Here is a 13,798-nt window from a genome sequence, read left to right on the forward strand (position 1 = left end):
GTGTTGGAGTCCCCATACAGAGTCCCTACTGGGGCACTGATTAGTGGAGCTATGAGAAGAGGGCCACCATCCTCCAGACCCCAGAATGGTAGATCCACTGACAGCTTGCACTGTGCACCTGGAAAAGCCGCAGACACTCAATGCCAGCCTGTGAAAGCAGCCAGGAGGGAGACTATACCCTGCAAGGCCACAGAGGCAGAGCTGCCCAAGACCATGGGAACCCACCTCTTGCATCAGCATGACCTGGATGTGAGACATGGAGTCAAAGTAGATCATTTTGGAGCTTTAATAATTGACTGCCCTGCTGGATTTCAGACTTGCATGGGCCCTCTAATCCCTTTGTTTTGGCCAATTTCTCCCATTTGGAACGGCTATATTTACCCAATACCTGTACCCCCATTGTATCTAGGAAGTAACTAGCTTACTTTTGATTTTATACAGGCTCATAGGCAGAAGAGACTTGCCTTGTCTCAGATGAGACTTTGGACTGTAGACTTTTGGGTTAATGCTGAAAGACTTTGGGGGGCTGTTGGGAAGGCATGATTGGTTTTGAAATGTGAGGACATGAGATTTAGAGGGGCCAGGGGCAGAATGATATGATTTGGTTGTGTCCCCACCCAAATCTCAACTTGAATTGTACCTCCCAGAATTCCCATGTGTTGTGGGAGGGACCCAGGGGGAGGTAACTGAATCATGGGGGCTGGTCTTTCCTATGCTGTTCTCATTATAGTGAATTAACTCTCATGAGATCTGATGGGTTTATCAGGGGTTTCTGTTTTCGCTTCTTCCTCATTTTTCTCTTGTCGCTGTCATGTAAGAGGTGCTTTTTGCCATGATTCTGAGGCCTCCCCAACCATGCAGAACTCTAAGTCCAATTAAACCTCTTTTTGTTCCCAGTTTCGGGTATGTCTTTATCAGCAGTGTAAAAACAGACTAATACACTGACTTTAGATGAGTTAATGAAGGTGGGGCCTCCATGATGGGATTACTGCCCTTATAAGAGGAAGAGACAGCAGAGGGCGGCCATTTGCAAGCCAGAAAAAAGCCCTCACAAGAACCCAACCATGCTGGCACTCCAATCACAGAACTTTAGCCTCCAAAACCGTGAAAAATAAATTTCTACTGTTTAATCCATCCAATCTATGGTATTTTGTTATGGCAGCCCAAGCAGACTAAGACAAAAGGAGAAGTAAAATGCACATACTTTGGACTATCTTTAGAAGTACCATTTGGCTAAAGGAAAAAGTTTCTCATAGGCAATTAATAAAAACCTATTTATTATCACTGATGCCCAAGTACTAGAAGAACAACAGCTGTTTTAGAATTGGCCACAGCCTCATGAATGTGGGCTAATCATTTTTAAAGCTTGCTTAAACATTAGCGATGAGGATACAGATATAGCATAGTTGTTATAAGCATGGGATCTGGAATTGGAGAGACTTTCTGAACTTCTTCTTAGCTGTGTGATCTCTATCTGTGAAATGAAGAAAATACGGTTGCCTAACTGGGTTGTTAATGATGATTAAATAATAATTATCATACAAAGCCCTTAACACTGTTCCTGGAACATAAAGTGTGCTTAAGAAATTGAAAATAATATTGCTTAGGGATATTTCAAGTTAGTACAGACACATCCAGTGGCATTTCAAAAAAGGAAATCAATTTGCTTATGGCCAAGGTAAATTCAAGTAATTGGTTTAGACAAAGCTCACCCTTGGTCAATGGGAAGTATAGAAAATATATCTCTGGGCACTGAATTATTGTTTATCAGTGGCTTTCCCTGACACCTTTATGTTCCACAAGTTCTTCCTAGTTGAAAGTAGAGTCAAAGCGGCCATGTCCTCTAAAGAAAGTGGCCACGTTAACAAGTATTTGATTCCATTTGGAGCTCTGGGGTATAAAAATGCACAGAAAATGGCTCCAGAACCTCAAAATGCATGAAAATTGTCATAAAGATTGATTTTATTACATTCAATTTAAGAGACTGTGAAAGGAATATTTTTTTCTTAACATGGACCAGGCCAGAATATCAACATTGAATACCTAGACTCTAAACATTTAAAAATTGAGCTATTTTTCTAAACCTTCCGAAATGTGCAGTTTTCTCTTAAGTTAAAAGAAAAGGTGGAAAGTGCCAAATAATCTCAGATGGGCCATTATTCAAGTCCTCAGGGACGATTTTAACTTATAAGGATAAAACACCTGCAAACAGAAAATCATGCATTACAGAAAATGAAGCCTTTTGTATATGCAGCTGTGATTTACATCTACACCAATGTCTAAATATAAGAAACTGATGTACTTTCTTACTTTTTAAAGCTTCTAGTACTTTTAGGAAACTCATGCAGCAATTTCTTGCGATATTCTATCAATAATTCATGTAATCGATCTTCTTTCCTTTCACTTTCTTCAATGGTTTTTGTGGTTAGTTCTAAGAGCTCAGTGTTGGTCTGGAAAAGGCGGCAGGCATAGCATGTGGATTTAGCTGTCTCCATCTTGTCCCCAGTGAGCACCCAGACTTTCAGGCCTGCTGCATGCAGAGCTTCAATGGTCTCTGCAGCTTGATCTTGTAGCCTGGGAACACAAAAGAAACCTTGTGATCTTCTAAAACTCCTGACAAAGATTCTACAGGAAGGCTTATTAAAGAGAATATTTTTATAATTCACAGCAATTCTAGAGTCCTGACACCTTATCACGGTTGACTTTCATATACATCCCCTACTCATTCTGAGTGTTGTCTCGGGCATAATTTTACTTATTAAAGCAAATTTCAAACAATGAGGTTCTGAAAAGTTTGTGACACCTTGGGTAACTGGTATCCAATGGCAGAATTGAGTATCATCATTCTAAGCTAAAATGTTCAGAAACATTTGTACTCAATGTCACTTTAGCATGTTTCATTTTATATCTAACCATACCAATTAACATCACTTAACATCATTCAAAGTATAAAGGTCCAAACATTCTAATCAGATGATGAGGGAAATTAGTGAATCCCTATCCTTGAGGAGCTTTAAGAACAGGAACATGGGTTTTCAAGGTGGCTGACTAGGGACATCAAATGCCAGTTGTCCTCATAAAAAAGATCAAAGTTACTGGTGAATGGACATCTTCTGAACTGAAAACTGTGGGAAGAGAGCCAGGACCTGTTGGAGAGCCCACAAGAGAAAGCTGGGATACAGAAAAGGGAAGAAGCGAGAGTCTGGCAGAGACTGTCCCTTAAGGAACTCAAAGCCCCATGTAAAGGGTAGGTGGAAATGCTTCTCTGCTTCCCTCACCTTGTGGCAATCTCCTGATCATCAAACTGCTGGGGAACCCCTCTGCCCTCCTTACCTAGGGCAATGCCATCAGTGGCGATATAGGAGCTTCCCAGGGACAGAGATCCAGGTGGCCAGCTCATGCAGGCATGTCAGTACTCCCCTCAGACCCAAACTTAGAGGGCAGGAACCACTGTGTTTGTGCTGCTGTAGTGGGCCAATGCCCTACCTAGGGGAATCTCTGCCCTTGAGTTATCATACCATCAGATTCCCTGCAAATATACTCCAACCCGCTCTGACTTTGGCAAGCTCATGGGGATCAGTGAGTCCCCAGGGAGCTATGGGATCCCTGGAGATCTATCCCTCGGCATGGACTGCCCCTAAGGGGGAGGTAAGCACAGCCTGCTAAGGGCCCTCCTGGGACAAAAGAAATGTGGGCACAGTGACAATCACTGAAGGGGGTAGCACTGAGGGCCAGGAACAGTCATGGAGAGGGGTCATTTCCCACTGTGTCCACCCCCTGTACACTGTTGTTGATGCAGCCAGCAGCAGTTCTTCCCAGTGGATGGTAGCGCATATGTACCTGGAGAAACTTTTCACCTTTTTCGCAGTGGCTCTACCCCTGCTGAAAACGAGCTCAGGCCAATTGGGCTTTCACAAAGGGTGGGGCCCAACTCCAACTCCCTACACAGAGCAGCAGCATCCCAGCAACAGACAGGTAAGCTGCAGAGTTGTCTGCTCTGAACTTGGGGGAAAGGCTCGGCCAAAGCCCATTTTGGTGGCAACCATCAGAGAGATGTATCCATGGTCTGCAGCCACAATGTAACCAGGAACCAAAGGATAAAGTCTATACAAACTGAAGATTGTGAGCCCTACGACAGGGGCATAATGGAGAAGCGGATCATCTTCCTACCTGCACAGGATGAGGAGCTGGTGCACCCCTCCTTGTTCCTTTCCCCAAGACCCAGCATACCCCAACCTGATCTCCAACCCCTGCCACCATCCTTCCCTCAGGGTAGGTGCTTCCACTCATCATCTCCCAGAGGGAGAACTGACTCTTACTCTTAAACTCCATCTACCAGACTGAAGCCTGAACTGCACCACCAAATAAATAACTTGCTGCCAGAAGGGCTTAGTGCTAGTACACATGCTAAGCTTTCTGACACCTCCACACCCTTAGCCCTGCGGGAGGCAGTGTGTCAGCCCTTGCATCCAATACATCACTACAGCAAACAGCATCTGAGAAAGCCACTGCACTGAAGCTATCCACAACCAAGGAAACCATATAGAGCCTTGCCCCGTCGAAAGCACCCAGAAACAAAGCCAAACAATCATACACAACATATACCACAGTCATATCCTCAAGGGAAAAAAGAATTAAAAAATAAAAAATGTCTCATCCAAACTACAGCAAATTCAAAAATAAGAAGCAACAGATCCCTCAGATGAGAAGGAATCAGTGTAAGAACTCTGGCGGTACAAAAAGCTGGGGTGTCTTGACACACACAAAGGATTGTACTACCTCTGTAATAATACAGGCTAACCAGAATGAAAAGTCTGAAATGACAGATAAGGAATTCAAAATATGGATTGCAAGGCAACTCAACGAGATCCAAGAGAAAGTTGAAACTCAACACAAAGAAACCAGAAAAATGATTCAGGATATGAAAGATAAGGATAGCTATAATAAAACAAACCAATTAGAACACCTGGAATTGAAAAATTCACTACAGCAATTTCAAAATACAGCTGGAAGCTGTAACAATAGACTAGACCAAGCAGAAGAAAGAATTGCAGAGCTTGAAGAACAGTCTTTCAAATTAATCCAGTCAGATAAAAAAAAAAAAATTTCAACATGAGCAAAGTCTTTGAGAAATATGGGATTATGTAAAGCAACAAAATCTGTAACTTCTTGGCATTTCTGAGAGAAAAGAAGAAAAAAAGGCAACATGTAAAATATATTTGGGGAATAATTCAGGAAAATTTCTTGAACCTTGCTAGAGGTCAACATCCAGATACAAGAAATTCAGAGAACAACTGTGATATGCTACACAAGATGACCATCACCAAGGCATATAGTCATCAGACTACCCAAGGTTAACAAGAAAAAAAAAATCTTAAAGGCAGCTAGATAAAAAGGACAAATTACCTATAAATGAAATCCCATCAGACTAATAGTGAATTTCTCAGCAGAAATCTTAGAAGCCAGAAGATTGGGGATGTAGTTTGGCCTTTTTTTTTTTAAGAGAGAAAAATCTCAATCTGTCACCTAAAGTGTAGCAGTGGTGCAGTCATGGCTCACTGTAACTTCTGGGCTCAAGCAATCCTCCCACCTCAGCCTCCCAAGCAGCTGAGACTACAAGCACGTGTCACCATGCTTACTTATCTAAAAAAAATTTCTGTAGAGATGGAGTCTCGCTATGCTGCCCAGGCTGGCTGTGAGCTCCCAGGCTCAAGTGTTCCTCCCACCTCAACCTTTCAAAGCACTGGATTACAGGTATAAGCCACCATACCTGGCCTTTAGACTTCCTAAAGAAAAACAACTGCAGCCAATAATTCTATATCCTGCTAAACTAAGCTTCTTAAATTAAGGAAAAATAAAGTTTTTCCCAGACAAGCAAATGCTATGGGAATCTGTCACCACCAAACCTATCCTATAAGAAATGCTTAAAGGAGCTCTAAACACAGAAACAAACGGATGATATTTGCTACTATAAAAGCATATGTTAGTAGAAAGTTAACAGATCCTATAAAGCAATTATATACTTGAGACTACCAAAACAACTAGCTAACAACACTAAGGCAGGAACAAAACCTCACATATCAATATTAACCTTGAATGTAAATGGCCTAAATGCTCCACTTAAAAGACATAGATTGCCGCAATGAATACAAAAATACCATCTGTTAGACAGGGCGTGGTGGCTCACACCTGTAATCCTAGCACTTAAGGAAGCTGAGGCAGGAGGATCACCTGACGTCATGAGTTCGAGACCAGCCTGGCCAACATGGTGAAACCCCGTCTCTACTAAAACTACAAAAATTAGCTGAGTGTGGTGGCAGGCAACCCGTAGTCCCAGCTACTCAGGAGGCTGAGGCAGGAGAATGGTTTGAACCCAGGAGGCGAAGTTGCAGTGAGCCAGGATTGCGCCGCTGCACTCTAGCCTGGGCAACAGAGTGAGACTCTGTCTCAAAAACTTCAACAGACCCATCTCAGGCGTAATGATGACCACAAGCTAAATCTAAAGGGATGGAGAAAGATCTATCATGCAAATAGAAGACAAAAAGGAGCAGGGTTTGATCTTCCTATATCAGATAAAACAGGCTTTAAACCAACAACAGTAAATAAAAAGACAAAGCGGGAATTACATAATGAAAAGGGATTCAATTCAACAAGATTTAACTAGCCTAAATATATACAGACCCAACATCAGAGTGCCCAGATTGATAAAACAATCATCCCTAGACCTAAGGAAAGAGACAGAGAGCCATACAATATTGGGGGATTTTAAGACCCCAATGATAGCACAAGACAGATTATCGAGGCAGAAAACTAACAAAGAAACTCTGGACTTAAATTGGACTCTTGACCAAATGGACCTAATAGACATTTACAAAACACTCTACTCAACAACTGCGGAACATACATTTTTCTCATCTGTGCATGAACATTCTCTAAAATTGATCACATGCTTGGTCATAAAGCAAGTCTCCTGAAATTCAAAACTCAAAATCATACAGAAGCATCTTCTCAGAACAGAGTGAAATAAAATTAGAAATCAATACCAAGGGGAACTCTCAAGACCACATCAGTACATATAAACTGAACAACTTGCTCCTGAATAACTTTTGAGTAAACAATGAAATTAAGGCAGAAACCAAAAAACAATTTTGAAACCAAAGAAAATAGAGACACAATATACCAAAAATTATGGGATATGTCAAAAAGCAGTGTTAAGAGGAAAGTTTATAGCACTAATTGCCTACATCAAAAAGGCAGAAAAATCTCAAATGAACAACCTAATGTCACACCTAAAGGAACTAGAAAAACAAAAACAAACCAGACCCAAAGCTAACAGAGGAGTAACAAAGATTGTAGCAGAACTAAAGTAAATTGAGACCAAAAAAATCATACAAAGGATCAATGAAACAAAAATGAAAAACAAACAGACCAGTAGCTAAATTAACAAAGAAAAAGAGAGGATTAAAATAAGCACAATCAGAAATGACAAAGGTGACATCACAACTGATACCACAGAAATACAAAAGATCCTCAGAGACTATTATGAACATATCTACGAGCACAAACTGGAAAACACAAACAAAATGGATAAATTCCTGGAAACATACAACCTCCCAACATTGAACCAGAAGGAAAAAGAAACCCTAAACAAGCTATGAAACTGAATCAGTAATAACGAATCTACTAATCAAAAAAACCCAGGACCAGAGAGATTAACAGCAGAATTCTATCAGATGTATATAAAGAAGAGTTGGTACCAATCTTATTAAAACTACTCCAAGAAAAATCAGTGAGGTGAGATTCCTCCATAACTCATTCTACAAAACTAGTATCATCCTAAAATAAAAATTTGGCAAGGACACAATAAAAAAAGAAAACTATAGGCCATTATTCATGATGAACATAGATGTAAAAATCCTCAACAAAATACTAGCAAACTGAAACCAGCAGCACATCAGAAAGATAACTCATCATGATCAAACGGGTTTTATTCCTGGGATGCAAGGACGGCTTAACATATGCAAATCAATAAATGTAATTCACCACGTACGTAAAATTAAAACAAAAATTATATGATCATCCCAATAGATGCAGAAAAAATATTCAATAAAATTTGACATACCTTGATGATAAAAAAAAAAAACCCTGAGAACAAACTAGGCATCAAAGAAACATACCTCAAAATAATAAGAACCCTACATGCAAACCCACAGCCAACACCATACTCAATGTGCAAAAGTTGAATGCATTTCCCCTAAAAACTGGAACAAGACAGGGATATCCACTCTTACCACTCCTATTTAACAGAGTACTGGAAGTCCTAGCCAGAGCAATCAGGCAAGATTGCTGGAATACTACGCAGCCATAAGAAAAGTAAAATCGTGTCCTTTGCAGTAACATGGATGCAGCTGGAGGCCACTATCCTAAGTGAAATAACTCAGAGGCAGAAAATCAAATACCACATGTTCTTACTTATAAGTGGGAGCTAATAAATAAGTACACATGGACATAAAAATGGAAATAACAGACAATGGGGACTCCAAAAGGGGGAAGACGGGAGGGGAGTGAGGGTTGAAAAACCACCCATTGAGTATTATGTTAATATCTTAGGTGATGGGATCAATGGAAGCCCAAACCCCAGCATTACACAATATAACCACATAACGAACCTGCACATGTACTACCTGAATGTATAACCCCGACCCACCCTCCAAAAAAAGAGGAACGCCAATCATCCTGAATGTGAATTTAATTATAATTCTTAAAGACGACAAGAGAAAAACGATACTTTCCTCTGGGTTTCTTTTGGCCACAGAATAACAATGAAATTAGACTAAAGGAATTTCATTAGAGTTTCAATACCTTTTAACGTGACTAAACATATGTTTGTAACTTTTTAATTCTCATAATTTTCATATATAATATTTAGAAAATTCTAAAAATATTAAGAATTTAAAACTTATTATTTCAAGCAGATCAATGGCAGTGTCCTGCAATCAAGTCTGAAAAAGGTCAGCCTGTAAGTTAAAAGCATATTATTTTAAAGTATGCAGGCCAGGCACGGCGGCTCATGCCTGTAATCCCAACACTTTCGGAGGTCAAGACAGAAGCTTATTTGAGGCCAGCAGTTCAAGACCAGCCTGGCCAACATGGCGAAACCCCGCCTCTACTAAAAATATGCAAATTAGCTGGGTGTGGTGGCATATGCCTGTAATTCCAGCTAGCTACCCCGGTGGCTGAGGTGTGAGAATCACTTGAACCCAGAAGGCAGAGGTTGCAGTGAGCCGAGATTGTGCCACTGCACTCCAGCCTGGGCGACAGAGCAAGACTCTGTCTCAAAAATAAATAAATAAATAAAAATAAAAATAAAATAAAATAAAGCATGCAAAAACATACTCTGGTCTGTTGAACCAGGTTAGATTAAGCTCTCATGTTGTTCACTCTACCTTAAATTTCCTTTCAGCTCACCTATCTCTGAAAATCTTACCCCTTTGTCTAGGCACCAGCTCAAACAATGGCTGTAGTACCCTTCCCTAAACATGTCAAGACTATTTGATAATATGTGCATAAATATATGGATAGCTTAGTAAATATTCAAAAGACCTGAGTGAAAACTGATTCATTCTTCTAGGTTACATGAATTTACCTTAAAAATCATTCCTACTGGCTGGGTGTGGTGGCTCACGCCTGTAATCCTAGCACTTTGGGAGGCTGAGGCGGACAGATCACGAGGTCAGGAGATCGAAACCATCCTGGCTAACACAGTGAAACCCCATCTCTACTAAAAATACAAAAAAATTAGCCGGGCGTGGTGGTGGGCACCTGTAGTCCCAGCTACCCTGGAGGCTGGGGCAGGAGAACGGCGTGAACCTGGGAGGTGGAGCTGGCAGTGAGCCAAGACCGCGCCACTGCACTCCAGCCTGGGCGACAGAGCGAGACTCTGTCTCAAAAAAAAAAAAATTAATTAAAAAATTAAAAAAAAATCATTCCTACTAACAGCTCAAAATCTGGTGTAATTTTTCATACTTGCTATAATAAATAAATCTTTAAGTCCACTTAAACAATAAAACTAAAGATTTCAAACTTCGAGATTAAATTACTAATCTGGGGCAGATCACACCCAAAACACTGGTCATTAAAATAATAAGAGTATCATTTTCTAGTTACTTGTCTTCAACTGCAGTGGCTCCAATTAAATTCATGTTTGTCTCAATATCATCGAAAACTTTTTCCATTTTTTCTTCTCTGTCTTGTAAGGCCATTTTTGCCTCTATGAGCTGTCTGTTAATTCTTTCATAATCATCTGGAGCAATTTCTTTGAAGGCTACACAGAGTGTCCGATACCCATCCTAGGAGTAAAGTAGGAGATCTGTAGTTATTCTAATAATAGTTGGAAAAAAAAAAAAACACACTCTGTAAATACTCTTGCTTTAGCCATATGGACAAGAGAAATTCTGACACATATTTAGTCTGAAAAAATGAAGAAATTACAACTGAAAAGGTAACATTCAATTAGGTTCAGAAAAAGGAAGTAACAGTTCTTTTAACAAAGGTTGTTGAAAAGTCTTTTAAGGCTGCAAATTCTGACCTGAAACTTGCTCCAGGAAAATGTTTTATATTAAGATAAAAAAAAGTAATATTATCAAATCCCCAAATACAAAACATAGACCACAAAAATAAGCTAAAATGTATTTAAACTGTCATTTAAACAGAAATCCAATAAACATAGTCATTTTCAACATTTCTCTGCTTACTTATTGGTGGGGGAAGGAGTATAGGCTCACCATTGCATTACGTTCCACATGGACTTTAGTTAACTCAATTTCATGATTTTGCACTCTGGGAAAAACTGCCGAGTCTGCTCCTTTACAAAAGAGAAGTATGTCTCCTAAAATAAAGAACCATAGTACTTGACTTAGAATTTTAAGGCTGGTATTGTGGTTTTAGTAAGAGTAACTTTTAAAGCGGTCTCTCTCACCCAAGTGTTGTATATTCTGAGCACACCTTGCAATACTCACCTAAATGGAATGAGAAATCTTGGCCTTCAGTCTGTCAGAAAGGCATGTACCACCTCTTCAAGGTCATTATGAACACAATTAATAAGCCAGAGTTTACAATAGGCACCTCTGTTAAAATATACTTCCTCCCACCAATTCATGGAGGGCTGGGCTTGTGTCAAGGAGCTGCATCTGAATTTCTTCTGAAAATGTATGCCAGGTGCAGTGGCTCATGCCTGTAATCCCAGCATTGTGGGAGGCTGAAGTGGGAGGATCACTTAAGCTCAGGAGTTCAAGACCAGCCTGGGCAACACAGGGAGACCCTGACTCTACTAAAAATTAAAAAATTAGCCAGGCATGGTGGTACACACCTATAGACCCAACTACGCTGGATGCTGAGGTGGAAGGATTGCTTGAGCCCAGGATGTCAAGGCTGCAGTGAGCTATAATCTTGCCACTCCAGCCTAGATGACAGAGTAATACCGTGTCTTAAAAAAAAAAAAATGCAGTGAAGCCATGGCCTAGAGCACACATATGGCATCTACAGATGTCAAGAAGAAAGCTCAAGCTCAAACAAGCTGAAATAATTTTGAATAAACTATATTAACTAGCTTCTAAAACAATGGCTTGATAGTTTTTACTGATGAGAATAGCTTTGTAGAATGCTGGTATAATTGCAGCTTTAGATCACTTCACACACCCAGGAAATATTCACAGTTGTGCACTAAGACAGACACTTTATCCTTATAAGGGAAACAACCGAGGTCAACAAATTAAAAAGTGTAGCTCTGAGGTCAATGACCTTTGTAGACCAGTTCCACAGACATTTCACCATTTGCTGTAGAACATGTGGACATGCACACATAAGAATAGCAAGTATTTGAAATGTTGTGTTTTTTTTTTCATTTATTCTTACACATCCAAAGTGTATTTTAAAATTCACAAAACAAACTCCATGGTCACTTATTAAAATCAATTTCATGACTTTGCAATCACACCACAAAGTATGAATTAAGTGGGATATGTTCCCCCAAGGATCTGTCTGTATCCTCCCATTCTGACATTAAGGAATTTAGAAAATTTAATAGTAAAACGTAAATTACTGGGAAATAAATCAAAAATTTTTAGAAAACAAACCACCTCGGCACACCACACACACACGTATCTGAGAGCCTTCGAATAAAGCAGGATTGCTCGCCCATGGGTCTTGCAGAATCTGAGCAGAAGGCAAACCACCATGGTGCCTCCAAAGACATGAGGGAGCCCAGGATTACAGTACCAGTTCCCCTGCAAAGGGCAAGCTTTACTCTGCTCAACAAAGAACCTGAGCTCTGGAGTGAAACTGCAATGCCATTTCCCAGAAACCAGGCCCTTAGTCCTCTCTACCTCACCTGTTTCCAGGGAGTGTCAAGCAGTAGGGGAACCAGGAAGGTCAGTGAGGGATAACAAGCAACTCCCTATACTCAAGGATTCTGCTGCTAGTAATCCCAAACCATCCAACTATGCTGGGTGGCTGCATGTAAACATTACTGGTAGACTGGTCAGTACCCTGAACCATATAAAAGTCATCCTTTCAGTTCCTGTTCGAACACCCAAGGCAGAGGGATATGGTTCTGCTACCAAGAAAAGGCACACCCTGTCATAACAAGGGTTCTGTCACTAACAATTTGGTAAACAGAACATCTGTGCTTAAAAAAATACATGAAAGCATATGCAAAAGCTACTGCTTTGCATGACTTTCACTAATCCTACACTACTACATGAAATGATTCTCTTTCCTGAAAGAGTGAATCAACCAATAAGCCTACAAATCAACAAAGAGAAAAATTCAAGCTTTTCAGACATGTACCTTCTTGAGTCTTCACAATTACACTCATACGTCGCCGGACAGCATCAAAGTTTAAGGTGTGAAGAAGTTCATATCTTTAAGAGAAATGAGCAAAGTAAAAAACCTAGAATATACTGAGAAAAATAAAGCACAACAGAAATATGTTAAGATATTTAAACATCTTAAATCAACAGATAGCACTGGTTGTGTGCACAACTGGTACTTTCCTTTGTCTCAGAATTTCTCTGAACATAGAACATGCTGTCAGAGGACACCAGTGTTAGTTAAGGGGTATTTATAGCCCCTCAGTATATTACTTAAAATGGTAAGGAGAATGACCACATAAAAATGGAAGATAAAGAGCTGTCCCACCAAGCCATATTTGGAGGGGTCTAGAAACAGTCCCACTCTGCCAATTATTTTAGCAGCATTTATGTATGGAGTGCCAGGCACAGTGCTAGGTGCTGGGGAATAGAGGTGAATCTGCCTGAGTCCCTTCCCTTATGCGGGTCACCATATGATAAGGGAGACAGAGCATAATGAGATAACTACCCTTCTAGTTTCTCAAATACTGTAATAAAGGCACTTACAGGGAAGATATAAGAACACAGAAGGAAGTCATCTGAAAGGAGGTTTCCTGGAAGAGGACATGCCTGAGCTGGGTTCTGCAAGGGTAATATGATGAAGAAAGGGGGCCATGGCATTCTGAGTAGAGGGAATGAGCACGGCAGCATGAGAGCACATGGCCCATGGAAGACTTTAAGTAGTTCACCAATGCCCAAAAAACTCATCAATAGGGGAATAGTAAGAGATAAAGCAAGAAAGGTAAGCAGGGGCTGGAAACACATCTTTGTGAGCCATTTCTGGAATTTGGGATTGTATTGTAAGAGCAAAAGAAAGCCAATAAAAGGGTTTAAACAGTGGAATGACATGATGAGACTGGTCAAATGTGTGTGTGGATGGCTGAACTAAT

General features: G+C 40.3%; 1 protein-coding gene across 21 annotated transcripts in view; it reads right to left on the reverse strand.

Moving 5' to 3' along the window:
- Positions 1-13,798, reverse strand: part of ATP11C (ATPase phospholipid transporting 11C (ATP11C blood group)) — a 210,556-nt gene that overhangs the window by 46,032 nt on the left and 150,726 nt on the right. For all 21 annotated transcript variants that reach the window (XM_047442018.1, XM_047442024.1, NM_001353810.2 and 18 more), the window contains 4 exons: positions 12,847-12,920; positions 10,785-10,888; positions 10,168-10,349; positions 2,311-2,574 (listed from right to left, as the gene is read on the reverse strand). In XM_047442018.1, coding sequence (XP_047297974.1) covers positions 2,311-2,574; positions 10,168-10,349; positions 10,785-10,888; positions 12,847-12,920 — 624 coding nt within the window. The remainder of the gene's footprint in view (positions 1-2,310; positions 2,575-10,167; positions 10,350-10,784; positions 10,889-12,846; positions 12,921-13,798) is intronic.

Source organism: Homo sapiens, chromosome X, assembly GCF_000001405.40.
Source record: "Homo sapiens chromosome X, GRCh38.p14 Primary Assembly".
Lineage (NCBI taxonomy): Eukaryota > Metazoa > Chordata > Mammalia > Primates > Hominidae > Homo > Homo sapiens.